At 43.9% G+C, this 13,932-nt stretch overlaps 1 protein-coding gene across 13 annotated transcripts in view, besides 1 other annotated feature; it reads right to left on the bottom strand.

Moving 5' to 3' along the window:
• The window catches only part of LAMA3 (laminin subunit alpha 3), a 265,614-nt gene extending 261,657 nt beyond the window's left edge, over positions 1 to 3,957 (bottom strand). For all 13 annotated transcript variants that reach the window (NR_130106.2, XM_011525978.3, XM_011525982.3 and 10 more), the window contains exon 1: positions 3,433 to 3,957. Coding sequence is in view for 12 of the 13 variants with exons in the window: in XM_011525978.3 (XP_011524280.1) it covers positions 3,433 to 3,726 (294 nt within the window). In the remaining variant the exon portion in view is untranslated. The remainder of the gene's footprint in view (positions 1 to 3,432) is intronic.
• Positions 4,049 to 4,598: an enhancer, noted in NCBI's record as "OCT4-NANOG hESC enhancer chr18:21268776-21269325 (GRCh37/hg19 assembly coordinates)". NCBI's record gives its function as "activates a minimal SCP1, AML or CMV promoter by ChIP-STARR-seq in naive H9 embryonic stem cells {active_cell/tissue: H9 hESC(naive)}" and the evidence as "EXISTENCE:reporter gene assay evidence [ECO:0000049][PMID:30033119]".

The following is a 13,932-nucleotide window of genomic DNA, read 5'->3' as shown; positions in this document are numbered from 1 at the left end:
ACTAAGAAAGAACAACAGTATAGGTAACTACATATGTAAACATAAAAACCAGTATTATTGTATTTTTGGGTTGTTTTGTTTTTGAGATGGAGTCTTCCTCTGTTGCCCAGGCTGGAGTGCAATGGCGCGATCTCAGCTCCTGGGTTCAAGCAATTCTGCTGCCTCAGCCTCCCGAGTAGCTGGGATTACAGGCACCTGCCACCACGCCCGGCTAATTTCTGTATTTTTAGTAGAAACGGGGTTTCACCATGCTGGCCAAGCTGGTCTTGAACGTCCAACCTCAGGCGATCCGCCCACCTCGGCCTCCCAAAGTGCTGGGATTACAGGCGTGAGCCACCATGCCTCTCCATATTTTTGGTTTTTAACTGCTTTTTTTGTATATTATTTAGAAGACAAATGCATATATAATAACAATAATTATAAATTCATAATAATGAACAATCATGTATAAAGATGTAATTTGCAACAATAATGTAAAGGACAGAGTTATACAGAAGCAGAATTTGGGATGCTGTTGAAGTTAAGCTAGTATCAATTCAAACTGGATTGTTATATATTTAGGATACTAATCGTAATCTTCAGAATAAGTACTAAAAAAAAACTAAATATATATAGAAAAGGAAATGAGGAGAGAATCAAAATGGTAAAAATCAGTTAAACCAGAAGACAATAATAGAAGAATTGAGAGTAGCCAAAAAATATATAAGGCATATAGAAAACAAGCATCAGAATGACAGAAATAAGTCTTTTCTCATGGAAACAAAATTTTCTAACATTAATATTTTCCAACAAAAGATTTGCAGTGAGTCTTGAATCTATTGTTTAAAACATCAAAACGGGCCGGCTGCGGTGGCTCATGCCTGTAATCCTAGCACTTTGGGAGGCCAAGGTGGGTGGATCATCTGAAGTCAGTAGTTCGAGACCAGCCTGGCCGACATGGTGAAACCCCGTCTCTACTAAAAATACAAAAATTAGCTGGGCGTGGTGGCAGGCGCCTGTAATCCCAGCTACTCGGGAGGCTGAGGCAGAAGAATAGCTTGAACCCAGGAGGCGGAGGTTGCAGTGAGCTGAGACCGTGCCACTGCACTCCAACCTGGGAGAGACGAGAGAGACTTCGTCTCAAAAACAAAACAATACAAAACATTAAAACGTAATACCTTTCTACTAGGAATGCTGAATACAACTTGGAAGTGAACAATTACCGGCCAAGTTTCTACTTCTAAAAATTTTTAGGCTAACCGAAGGATGGGGCAGAGCTAGAGCTATAGTACCATGATTTAGTAGCTTAGACAGCAAAAGACGTGTACAGTCACTTGGGGCCTCTCACTTCGAAGGGCCCCTCGCTTACTTCAATGCTGTGCTGTCACCATCTTGATATTTAAAATAATTTTTTAACAAGGGGTTCTACATTTCCACTTTGCACTGAACTCTGTAAATTATGTGACTGGTCAATGCAGTTCTTCCATTTGAATCTACATATTTTTTTAGGTATCTTTTCAGCTATAACAACCACTAAAATCAAGTATAACATAAAATCAGGCCGGGTGCAGTGGCTCATGCCTGTAATCCCAGCACTTTGGGAGGCCAAGGTGGGCAGATCGCTTGAGCCCAGGGGTTCAAGACCAGTCTGGCCAACATGGCAAAACCTTGTCTCTACAAAAGATACAAAAATTAGCCACGCATGGTGGCATGTGCCTATAGTCCCAGCTACTTGGCAGGCTGAAGTGGGAGGATTACCTGGGCCTGGGAGGTGGAGGTTGCAGTGAGCCAAGATAGCACCACTGCACTCCAGCCTGGGTAATAGAGTGAGACCCTGTCTCAAAAATAAAATTAAATTAAAAACTGAATTGTTATAAGAGCTAAACTAAATTTCTCAAAAATAATTATACACACAATTATATTTGCATATTTGTGTGTTTATAAACACACAATCATAAAATAGAGAAAGCAAAATTATTTGAGGACTGTTAAAAGTATTTTCATCATTGTTATTTTATATTTTTAGTTTCTTTTCTTGCATGTTTTATAATATAGATAATATATAAATATGGTAAAAATATTTTCATCATTGTTATTTTGTCTTTTAGATTTCTGTTTTTGCATGTTTTAAAATATGCACAACACATATCAATATAATACATGCATGTAGTTTATAAGTAAATAAGCACATATGGCACTAGATGTTCAACAACTTGTCATTTATGGAAGTGCATGGTCAAAAGAGTTTCTAAAACACTAATCTAGACACCCAATGATAACCTTGCTCTTTTAGAACCCAAGCTCCAAAATCGCTCCCTCTTCCCACTTCCTGTTCCTCAACAATACTTTGCAGAAGAAGGAGGCAATTTGGGCTTAGTGTCCAGGATTTGAAGTCAGGACTGGATTCAAATTCTCCTGCCCCTTTGGGAGGTCAAGACAGAAGGACAGCTTGAGGCTAAGAGTTTGAGACCAGCTTGGGCAAAATAGCCAGACTCTGTCTCTACAGAAAAATAAATAAATAAATAAATAAATAAATAAATAAATAAATAAATAAATAATTGCCAGGCCTGAGGTTGCAGTGAGCCGAGATCGCACCATTGCATTTCAGCCCCGGCGACAGTGCGAGACTCTGTCTCAAAAAAAAAAAAAAAAAATTGCCAGGCACGGGGGGGCACGCCTGTAGTCCCAGCTACGCCCAAGGCTGAGGCGGGAGGATCCCTTGAGCCCAGGAGTTCGAGGCTGCCGTGAGCCGTGATCGCACCACTGCACTCTTGCCTGGCTGAGACCTGTGAGTAAGGGCCAGGCACTGCAAGATGCTGCTTAACATGCACCGCAATGTCGTTTGCCCCGGGTGTTCGCGGTGAGGCTCGGATCTCTGAGAGCCTTTCTATCTCTGTCCGCCTAAGGTCTCATTCGCCCCCAATGACTGGATGGTGGCACTTCAGGCAGTGCAGTGAAGTGAATCTTTTCAGTAACATTAGAGTGATACCGCTGTTATAACCTAAAAATTCTCTCTTAAAATACACCACAGAAGGTAATTGCCACCGACTTCTCCGAATAAGGCCCGGGAGGTGGGGCAGGAGGCGCCCCTGAACCCTCGAGGACTCAAGCCTGGCGGGACGCTCCGTGGGTGACGGAGGCGGGAAGGGCCGAGGCGCCTGCATCTCTTAGAGCGCAGCCTCACACTTTCCCCTCCACCAGCCCGAACCTGACCACAGCCTCATGTCACCTCGCGTGCTCCCCCTCCTCGCCTCGGGCCGGTGGTGCCGGTGCGGTGCTTCCACGAGATCGCTCCTGGGTCGTGGGCCCTCGCGCGCGGGGATGGGGGCTGCCCTTCCCAGTCGCCCGGAGCCACTAGCGCGCGTGAGGAAAGGGCCCGATCCCTTCTCCGGGTGTCTGGCCGGCGCGGGAAGGAAAAGGCGCGCCCACCCCGGCTCTCTCCGAGGCCCTCACCTGGATGGTGTGGCCGCTGCCTGGGGCGGTGGGGCCCCCGACCAACTTGCAGTAGAGCTCGGGCTGGGGCCTCCCCTCGCCGGGTCCCCTCTCCCCGCAGGTGGCGGTGGCCCAAATCCTCGCCGCCTCGGCCAGGTTGAAGTAAGTCGGGTGAAGGCTGAGCCCGGCCGCGGCCCCGGGATCCCGAGCGGTCGCCCCGCAGGCTGGCAGCACCCGCAGTACCAGCAGGAGCAGCGGCGTCGGCGGCAGTACTGGCCCCAGTGCCCGACCCCGAGGCCGCGCGGCCGCCGCCATCCAGCCGCGCGGGGTCCTCCCGCCTGAGCCGTCCGCAGAGGGGCTCGGGGGCACCGCCGCTCTCCGCCTGCGCCTCCCGGACCTGCAGCGCCAGGACTAGCGCAGCCGGGGATATGGGCGGCGCCGGGGCCGCTCCCCTTGCTCCACGCGCTGGAAGCCCGCGGCGTGGGGGTGGCCTCTCAGCTCTGGAACCTGCCGCGGCTGGAGCGGGCACCAGCCGGATCAGGAACTGACAGCGCTCAGCCGCGCGCCAGCAGACGGCGTCTCTCCCGCGCGAGGCGCGCTGCAAACTTCGCGGGCGGGGAATGGGAGAGGCGTTCCCGGGCTCCCACCCAGGCGGCGGGAACGGGAGCCTGGGATCTTCGAACCCTCCAGGCGCCAGGACAGAAATTAATTAGATCGTTCTCCTCTCTGGATACTCACCGCTCAGGTCAAAGCCAGAAAAGCCACCTGTGACCTAAGAGTAAAGGAGGCTTGTAAACGAATTTGGTTGAGAGCAGAGGAAACTGCCACTACCTACAGAACTCACATCAAAGACATTTCGATTTCCCAGCCAAGTGTTGAGTCGTCAACTCCTCAACACTGTGCACCTAGGATCCCTGTGGCACTGCAGCCACAGGCTGAGCCAGGGAACTGGGAGTGGTGGAACGTACATATTTAAAAGACAGCCAATAATGCAAGTTGTAATTTGCCAACCTGGAAAGGAACCTTAGAGGAAATCCTTTAGATGCCTAATCTGCTCAATTTTACAAATAAGCTAACAGAGATTGAGTGAGGTACGCCACCTGCCATGATGGCCTCAGAACAGAGAAGACCCCCTCCCCCCACGACCCCGGACTGATGCTTGGTCTTATATGCAGAACACCCTACTAAAACAGAACCCACATAGGCCCTCGAAGAAATTAGAGGAATGCAATATTTGTACAATAAAAATTGCAAAACCTCTTTGAAAGAAATGTTAAAAGACCTAAATGAGTGGAAAAGCCTCCCATGTTCATGGATTAGGAGACAATATTGTGAAGATGGCAATATTTCCTAAAGCAACCTACAATTCAACACAATGGATTTTGATAGGGATCAAAATCCCGACTTTTTTTTTTTTCAGAAATTGACAAGCTGATCCTAAAATTCATGTGGAAATGCAAGAGACCTAGAAAATCCAAAACGATTCTGAGAAAGAATGAAGTCAGTGGACTCACGCTTCCTAGTTTTAAAACTTAATACAAAACTACAGTAATCAAGACAGTGTAGTACCGACATAACGATAAACATAGATCAATGGAATAGAATTGAGAGCTCAGAAATAAACCGTTACATTTATGGTCACTGGATTTTCAACAGGGTGCCAAGACTATTCAATGGGAAAAGAATAATATTTTTAATAAACGCTGCTGGGAAAACTGGACATCCCAAAATAATCTAGTAGGATCCCCACCTCATACTATATGCAAAAATTAACTCAAAATGGATTTAAGATCTCTAAATTTTACATTTAGAGAGCTAAACTATAAAGCTAAAACTATAAAATTCTAAGGGAAAAACACAGGAGAAAATCTTCATGACTTTGGATTAGCAATGCTGTCTTAGCTATGATATCAAAAGCGCAAGCAACAAAAGAAAAATATAAATTGGGCCGGGCACGGTGGCTCATGCCTGTAATCCTAGTACTTTGGGAGGCCGAGGTGGGTGGATCACCTGAGGTCAGGAGTTCAAGACTAGCCTGGGGAAAATGGTGAAACCCTGTATCTACTAAAAATACAAAACTTAGCCAGGCATGGTGGCATGTGCCTGTAATCCCAGCTACTCCAGAGGCCAAGGCAGGAGAATCACTTGAACCCGGGAAGCGGAGGTTGCAGTGAGCCAAGATCATGGCACTACACTCCAACCTGGGCAACAGAGCAAAAATCTGTCTCAAAACACACACACACACACACACAAAGATAAATTGAAACTTACCAAATTTTAAAACTTTTGTGCTTCCAAGGCACCCTCAAGAAAGCGAAAGATGGCCAGGCACAGTGGCTCATGCCTGTAATCCCAGCACTTTGGGAGGCCAAGATGGGTTGATCGCCTGAGGTTAGGAGTTCAAGACCAGCCTGGCCAACATGATGAAATTTTCTACTAAAAATACAAAAATTAGCTGGGCATGGTGGTGCACACCTGAAATCCCAGCTACTAGGGAGGCCGAGGCAGGAGAATCACTTGAACCCAGGAGGCAGAAGTTGCAGTGAGCTGAGATTGTGCCACTGCACTCTAGCCTGGGAAACTGAGAATCCATCTCAAAAAAAAAAAAAAAAAGAAAGTAGAAGACAATCCGCAAGATAGAAGAAAATATTTGCAAACCATATATCTAATTAGAAATTCATATCCAGAATAAACTCTTACAACTCAACCATTTTTTAAAAAGTAGTGGGCAAATATAAAAATGGTCGATAAGCATGACCATGGAAGACGCTCAACATCATTAGCCATCAGGAAAATGCAAACCAAAACCACAATGAGATACTACTTCACACACACTGGGATAGTTATAATCAAAAAGATAGATAATAACAAGTATTTGTGAGGATGTGGAGAAGTTGGAACCCTCACAGATTACTGATGGGAATGTAAAATGGTGCAGACACTTTGGCAATTCCTCAAAAACTTAAACATAACATGACCATGTGATCTGGCAATTCCAATCCTAAGAACATACTCAAGAGAACTGAAAATATATATCCACACAAAAACTTGTACATAAATGTTTATAGCAGCGTTAGTCATATAATAAAAAAATGAATACAACCTAATGTTCCCCAACTGATGAATGGATAGACAAAATGTAGTATATCCATACAATGGAATATCTGTCACACATAAAAAGAAATGAAGTTCTGATCCATGCTTACAACATGGAAGAACCTTGAAAACGTTATGGTAGGTGAAAGAAGTCAGACAAAAAAGACCACATATTGTATGGGGAGTGACTGCTATTGGCTATGGGGTTTCTTTTTGGAGTGATAAAAATGTTCTGGAATTAGATAGTGGTGATGATAACCATCACGCTATGCATCACCACTATCACATCACCAATTGTGTGAATATACTAAAACCACTGAATGGTGCACTTTATGAATTTATGGTATATAAATTATATCTTAAAGCTGTTATTATGGATTTTTGCAGAACTGAAATATCTACTAAACATAAGAAATGTGGCCAGGTGTGGGGGCTTACGCCTGTAATCCCAACACTTTGGGAGGTGAGGCGGGTGAATCACCAGAGGTCAGGAGTTCGAGACCAGCCTGGCGAACATGGTGAAACCCTGTCTCTGCTAAAACTACAAAAATTAGTCGAGCATGGTGGCACATGACTGTAATCTCAGCTACTGGGGAGGCTGAGGCAGGAGAATCGCTTGAACCCGGGAGGCAGAGGTTGCAGTGAGCTGAGATCGCACCACTGCACTTCAGCCTGGGTGACAAGAGCGAAACTCCGTCTCAAAAAAAAAAAAAAGAACTGTATATGAATGTGTGTGTGTGTGTGTATGCGTGTGTGTGAAAGCAGACAAATAATTTTTTTTTTTTGAGACAAGGTATCACTCTGTTTCCCAGGCTGGAGTGCAGTGGCATAATCATGGCTCACAGCAGTGTCAACCTGTGGTGCTCAAGTGATCCTCTCACCTCAGCCTCCCAAGTAGCTGGGACTACAGGCATGTGCCACCATGCCTGGATAATTTTCTTTATTATTATTATTATTATTTTTTTTTTTTTTTTTTTTTGTAGAGATGGGATTTTGCCATGTTGCCCAGGCCAGTCTCAAACTCCTGAGGTCCAGCAATCCATCCATCTTGACCTCCCAAAATGCTGGGATTATAGGCATGAGCCACTGCGCCTGGCCAGAATTTTTGAAAGCTTTACAATAGGATATTCAAGTGGCTAGATAGGATGGAGAGAGGGGATTTTTTGTTTGTTTGTTTATTTTCTTCTTTTTGCTTGCTTATATTTTTTAATTTCTCCAAGAATGAAACTATATTGCTTTTGTCCTAATAAAAACTTTCAAAATATTCTATTAAATCAACTGAATGAGTACCCAGCACTGACTCTAATAGTCCTGCCCTAAGTGATATGGTCCTACCTAAATTGATGAAAGAAGATTGATAAAAAGCGAGAAAGGGCTGGGCGCTGTGGCTCATGCCTGTAACCCCAGCGCTTTGGGAGGCCTAGGCGGGCGGATCACGAGGTCAGGAGATCTAGACCATCCTGGCTAACATGGTGAAACCCCGTCTCTACTAAAAATACAAAAAATTAGCCAGGCGTGGTGGCAGGCGCCTGTAGTCCCAGCTACTTGGGAGGCTGATGCAGGAGAATGGCCAGAACCCGGGAGGCGGAGCTTGCGGTGAGCAGAGATCCCACCACTGCACTCCAGCCTGGCCAACAAAGCCAGACTCCGACTCAAAAAAAAAAAAAAAGTGAGAAAGATTTTATGTACTTTTTAAAGTCCTCTCAGACAAGATTATTTGAAGGAAAGCATTCAACAAATGGCTAAGATTCCAAAACTATTTTATTAACATGTAAAAGTGAAAGCAAAGTCTAAATTTAAAAAGTTGTTTTCTGCCCTGGCCAGTAACTCTTCCACACTGCCAAGTCCTTTTGCTGAGATGTTCTGATGCTATCAGAAACCTCGGCAGCAGCTACAACCATCCCTGGATTCAAATCAAGGCTTTGTCCTTACAGGGCTTCATATTTTGCTATAAACGGCAACACTTAACAGCATGATATACAAATTTATTGCACTGTACAATGACAATATTTCTCTTTAATGTGTTTTATTGCATTCCCTAGTCAGAGGGTAAGTGATATCATTGACTTCATGTTGTCATTGCAGTTTAAAAATAACTTTGCGATGTCAAGGTACATTAAGTGTATTTGCCCACCGAGAACAGCTATAAAGATGATCAAATAAAAGCTTCATATCTAAAGTTAATATTTGCTAGTAAAGTCATCTCTCTGAAGATTAAATGTCTAAACCAAACATCCAGGAAACAACTACGCTCCACAGTCCTGGATGCCAGAGATATAAAGATGAGTAATGAGAATGAGGACACTTTGGTGGGTGGGAGGAGGAAGGCTGTTCTGAAGTTTAAATGAAGGAATGTTATGAGCAAGTGGTTTGAGACATTAAAGCAGCAAATATAAGGACACACATTTTTAAGGCAAAATGGGGCTGTCATGTTTTTGTTTTTATTGTTGTTGTTTTTGAGATAGGGTCTCACTCCACTCTCCAGGCTGGAGTGCGGTGGTGCAATCTCAGCTCCCTGCAACGTCCACCTCCCCTACTCAAGTGCTCCTCTGGCCTCAGCCTCCCAAGTAGCTGGTACTGCAGGTGTGCACCACCACACCCAGCTACTTTTTTGTATTTTTGGTAGAGATATGGTTTTGCCATGCTACCCAGGCCAGTCTCAAACTCTTGGACTCAAGCGATCTACCTGCCTTGGCCTCCTAAAATGCTGGGATTACAGGCATGAGCCACTGCACCTGGCTGGGGCTGTCATGTTTTAATATAGAAAGAGAATGCTTAAAGGAATTAAATGACTTGCCCATATTTTAAGAAAAACAGGAATAATCAGCTGGACCCAAGACATCTGATTTCCAGTTATGCTTCTAGGAGGACTCTGAGAGGACAAAAGGAAAACACCTGGGTGAGGCCCATCTGTGGTGTGAAGGCTACAGATGTGTCCCAAGCACAAGAGGTTTACTTCGCCCTGGAAGGGTGGGTGGGACATACGTGCATTGTTGGGTGCAAACAAACTCAAACTAACAAGAGTGAATTGGGGTTTGGCTGACCTCCCAATACTTCAGAAGTGATTCATGCAGAGCTACATCCTTCAAATCTTAAGATGGAAGTGGAACTTGCCATGCATGCTGTTGTTAAAAAGAATGTCCTTAGAGCCAAGAACCTAGACATGCATGGGTAATAAACTCAGTGTCTTACAACGGCATAACAAATGCAGTAATGTCCCTTTAATAGAGTGATTGACCTAACATACTCATGGCTATTCTTCCTCTTAATCAAAACATAGGTTTTCTCCTCCTTTTTCACTCGCTCCCCAATATGGCAGCTCTTCCCTTCTCTCCTCTCCAGTTCTCCTAGGAATATGAACTGGGATCAGAAGCCCTGGGTCCTGCTTATTATTTCTATTCTCTTTTAAATTGCATGGTTAAACTGTGACTTGTTACTGGCTTGGTTTCACTTAATAATCAATCAGTTTGCAGAAATTGACCTGTCATCATCATTTAACAGAGAAAACAATAACATCATCTAAGCCAATAGCAGTGTGTGGATCACTAACAGCAACCAAAAGAATACAAACAAAACCAAAAGACTAAAGGCATTTCTACTTATAATGACACACACCTGGTGAGGCACGTCGAAAACCAGAGGAAACTAGGCAACGAGTAAAGTTCTGCCACCCAATTTGTTACCATCATTGCAAACCCAAGATGGAAAGCATCTTTTGGAATCCTGCAATTCTACCATCCAAGAAAAAAAAAAATCTTTTGTTACTCTTCTACAGTGGTTCATGTCTGTAATCCAAGCACTTTGGGAGACCAAGGAGGGTGGGTTGCCTGAGCTCAGGAGTTCGAGACCAGCCTGGGCAACACGGTGAAACCCCATCTCTACTAAAAATACAAAAAATTAGCTGGGTGTGGTGGCATGCACCTGTTGTCCCAGCTACTCGGGAGGCTGAGGCAGGAGAATTGCTTGAACCCAGGAGGCGGAGGATGCAGTGAGCCTAGATTGCGCCACTGTACTCCAGCCTAGGTGACAGAGCGTGAGTCCATCTCCAAAAATAAAAAAGAAAGTTTCACCAAGTGTATTTCTCAACAAGCATTTTTCTATGTTATTAAATATCTACCTAACTGTGCAAATGTAGGCTTTTGGTTAACATCAAACAATTACCATGACCACACAGAGCTGAAATCATTCCAGTTCAGAGTGAAGATAGTGTGCTTGCTTTAGCCTATGTTGTCAGACTCTAAATAAAGGCAAGGTTTCTATTAATCATTTTGAAAACTGAGAATTACCCCTAGACCCTTGGGTATCAGGAAACACAAATCTAAGATCACCCACTTTTGTTTCCAGACAAGACAGTCAAGGTTAAGGACTTGTTCAGTTGCTCAGCCCTCATTACCATGAGATGGTATCCAGAACCCAGCTATGTGCCTGCCTGGGATTATAGGACATCTCCACCTCTCTAAAGTGTGGACCTCCCTGTTCCAGGTCCCCTGATCTAAGGACTTCTTGTAAAGTAAGGATACTCACTTGGCCCATGGCCTCTGTCTGGTTTATCTTCTGAGCTCAGAAACCCCAGTGTTAACCAAACCAGAGTAGAATTCTCAGCCTGATTATATCAAGTGTTTCTGCTCACTGCAAGCAGATTCTAGCTTTCGTCAGAACCTTGACAATGGTACCTCCTGTTAGGGCACTCCCTGGTAGATAGCTCTGCCAAACCCCCTATGAAGAATTCACATTTCAGGCTGGGTGAGGTGGCTCATGCCTGTAATCCTAGCATTGTGGGAGCCCAAAATGGGAGGATTGCTTGAGGCCAGGAGATCAAGACCAACCTGGCCAACGTAGCAAGACATGATTTCTATTTTTATTTTATATCTGTTAAATAAAAATTTTTTTAAAATTCACATTCCAACTGCATGAATTTTCTCTCCAGCTCTTGTTTCACACAGTCCCATTTGGCCTTTCTGTGAAATACACAGCTGGGCAGAGGAAGTAATTTTATACATTTGTTTTTAAGGAGAATTTTTTCCCCACCCCAGGTGTCTGTTACTACAAGCAGTAGTTCTAGGATAAAAGAAAGCCTACACCTATGTAATAGTACCTTGTCTTTACAATGCCTTTTTTTTTCCTGTCAGCCCAGAGCTACCCTGCAAGGTAAGTGTTTGAAAGCCATTAGTCTCATTTTGCAAATGAGCAAAAATAAAGTAGTGAGTAATTAAATCATCTTGCTTCAGCCATAGTGGAGATTTAAGGAATAGAGCCTTCACTCTCTTGACATGAACTCTGACTCAAAATCTGGCAGAGATTTTTGAGTGAAAATTAGAAATCAGTCTTTAAAATATCTTTTTGCTTCATTTTCACATTTTCCCCTCTTTAGTTGCCCTAAGTTTAGGAATTCAAGTCCACAAGAGGTAGCACTGCCAGCAGGGTAAAAATATGTCAACACCTAGTGCTCAACCACACTGCACTACCTTTCTTTCTTTCCATCTTTCTTTCTTTCTTTCTTTCTTTCTTTCTTTCTTTCTTTCCTTCTTTCTTTCTTTCTCTCTTTTCTTTCTTTTTTTCAGACAGAGTCTTGCTCGTTGCCCAGGCTACAGTGCAGGAGTGTGATCATGGCTCACTGCCGCCTCAAACTCCTGGGCTCAAGCGATCCTCCCAAGTAGCTGGGACTAAAGGTATGCACCACCACGCCCAGCTAATATTTTAATTGTTTTTTTTTTTTAGAGACAGGGTCTTGCAATGTTGCCAGGGCTCATCTTGAACTCCTGGCTTTAAGCAATCCTCCATCCTTGGCCTCCCAAAGTGCTGGGATTACAGGTATCAGCCACCACACCCTGGCCTGCACTGCATGTTGTTTCTATGTCCAAAATACATCACTTCAGAGACATGCATTTTGTAAGAATTTGACAAATAGTCTCAACAAAGGTCTATTTAACAATAAAAGCTGTAGACTTTTTGAGGACAGGGGCTGGCCCAGGGATTTTTTCTTTTCCTTTTTCTCCTTTAAGATTTCCATAGAAGTGTCTTATACAAAGTAGCAGGTTGATAAATATCTGTCAGAATTCAGATTGAATTAATTGCACTTGAGCCCTAGAATATCGGGCTAATAGACAATTTTGTAGACCATACAACTGAAATCTCTCACCATTTCATGCTCTGTAACAGCCCATATCATGCTGAGCAGTTCAAAGAACAAATGGAGGTGCCTCCTTCAACACGCACTTCTTAAGAAGGCAATGTAGATCCAACTTCCCTATGTCTCTACTTTTTTACTCTCGATTTATTGACGACCTAATTATGTCTGTGGGGCTTGTTATTTATTTCTTTATCTCATTCAATATGTTTTTTCTAGAAGTAAATTTCAGAAGATTTTGAGGGTGGCTCTTTAAATAGCCAGGGCATGGTTGCTCCCAGCATGTAAAACAACTGGAAAATATGAATATGCTACAGGTGTGGCCCTGAAGAGGTGGAGTAAATGGGAATGGGACAGAGTCAATGGTATACCTACCAAGGACTGGTGCAATACAGAGTTCCTGAGAGGTGGCTGCCTGCTCTGAGACTACATTTCCCAGTACCACCTGCATCTAAGTAGGGTCATATGACTAAGTTTTGAGCCAATGAAAAGTCATCAGGGCTGGACAGCTGCGGTGGCTCACACCTGTAATCCCAGCACTCTGGGAGGCTGAGGCAGGCGGACCACCTGAGGTCAGGAGTTTGAGACCAGCCTGGCCAACATGGTGAAACCCCGTCTCTACTAAAAATATAAAAATTAGCTGGGCATGGTGCCATGCACCTGTAATACCAGCTACTCGGGAAGCTGAGGCAGGAGACTAGCTTGAACCCGGGAGAGAGAAGTTGCAGTAAGCAGAGATCACACCATTGCACTCCAGCCTGGGTGGCAAGAACAAAACTCTGTCTAAAAAAAAAATAAATAAATAAGGGAGAGAGAGAGAGAGAGAGAGAGAGACCAGGGCTGGACACGCTGGCTCATACCTATAATCCTAGCACTCTGGGAAGCAGGGAGCAAGCTGAAAGGATCGCTTGAGCTTGAGCCCAGGAGTTTGAGACCAACCTGGGCAACATAATAAAACCCTGTCTCTAAAAAAAATTTTAATTTAATTTAAAATACAGAAAACATCTCTCTGAGTATGTTTCAATGAAAAAAATAAATAAAATACAGAAAATATATTCAGTGGAACTTCCTAACTATGATCCCTTCTGGGCCAATCCATTTCCATCAATGACATCACCAATTTGTCTAGTATCCCAAAGATGACACTTCTGTGAAAGTATCCAGCACAGTGCCTAATTCGCAGGTTCTTAACAATCATTAATTCACTTCTCCTTTTCCTTTCATCTGTCAGATTAGAAACATGGATTTCTCATTGACTATTCTCTTTCCATAATCCTTTATGCTCAAATGGCATTGTT

This window comes from Homo sapiens, chromosome 18 (assembly GCF_000001405.40).
Source record: "Homo sapiens chromosome 18, GRCh38.p14 Primary Assembly".
Taxonomy (NCBI): domain Eukaryota; kingdom Metazoa; phylum Chordata; class Mammalia; order Primates; family Hominidae; genus Homo; species Homo sapiens.
Note: the sequence above shows the minus strand (reverse complement) of the source record. Positions and strands in the feature narration are given on the sequence as shown.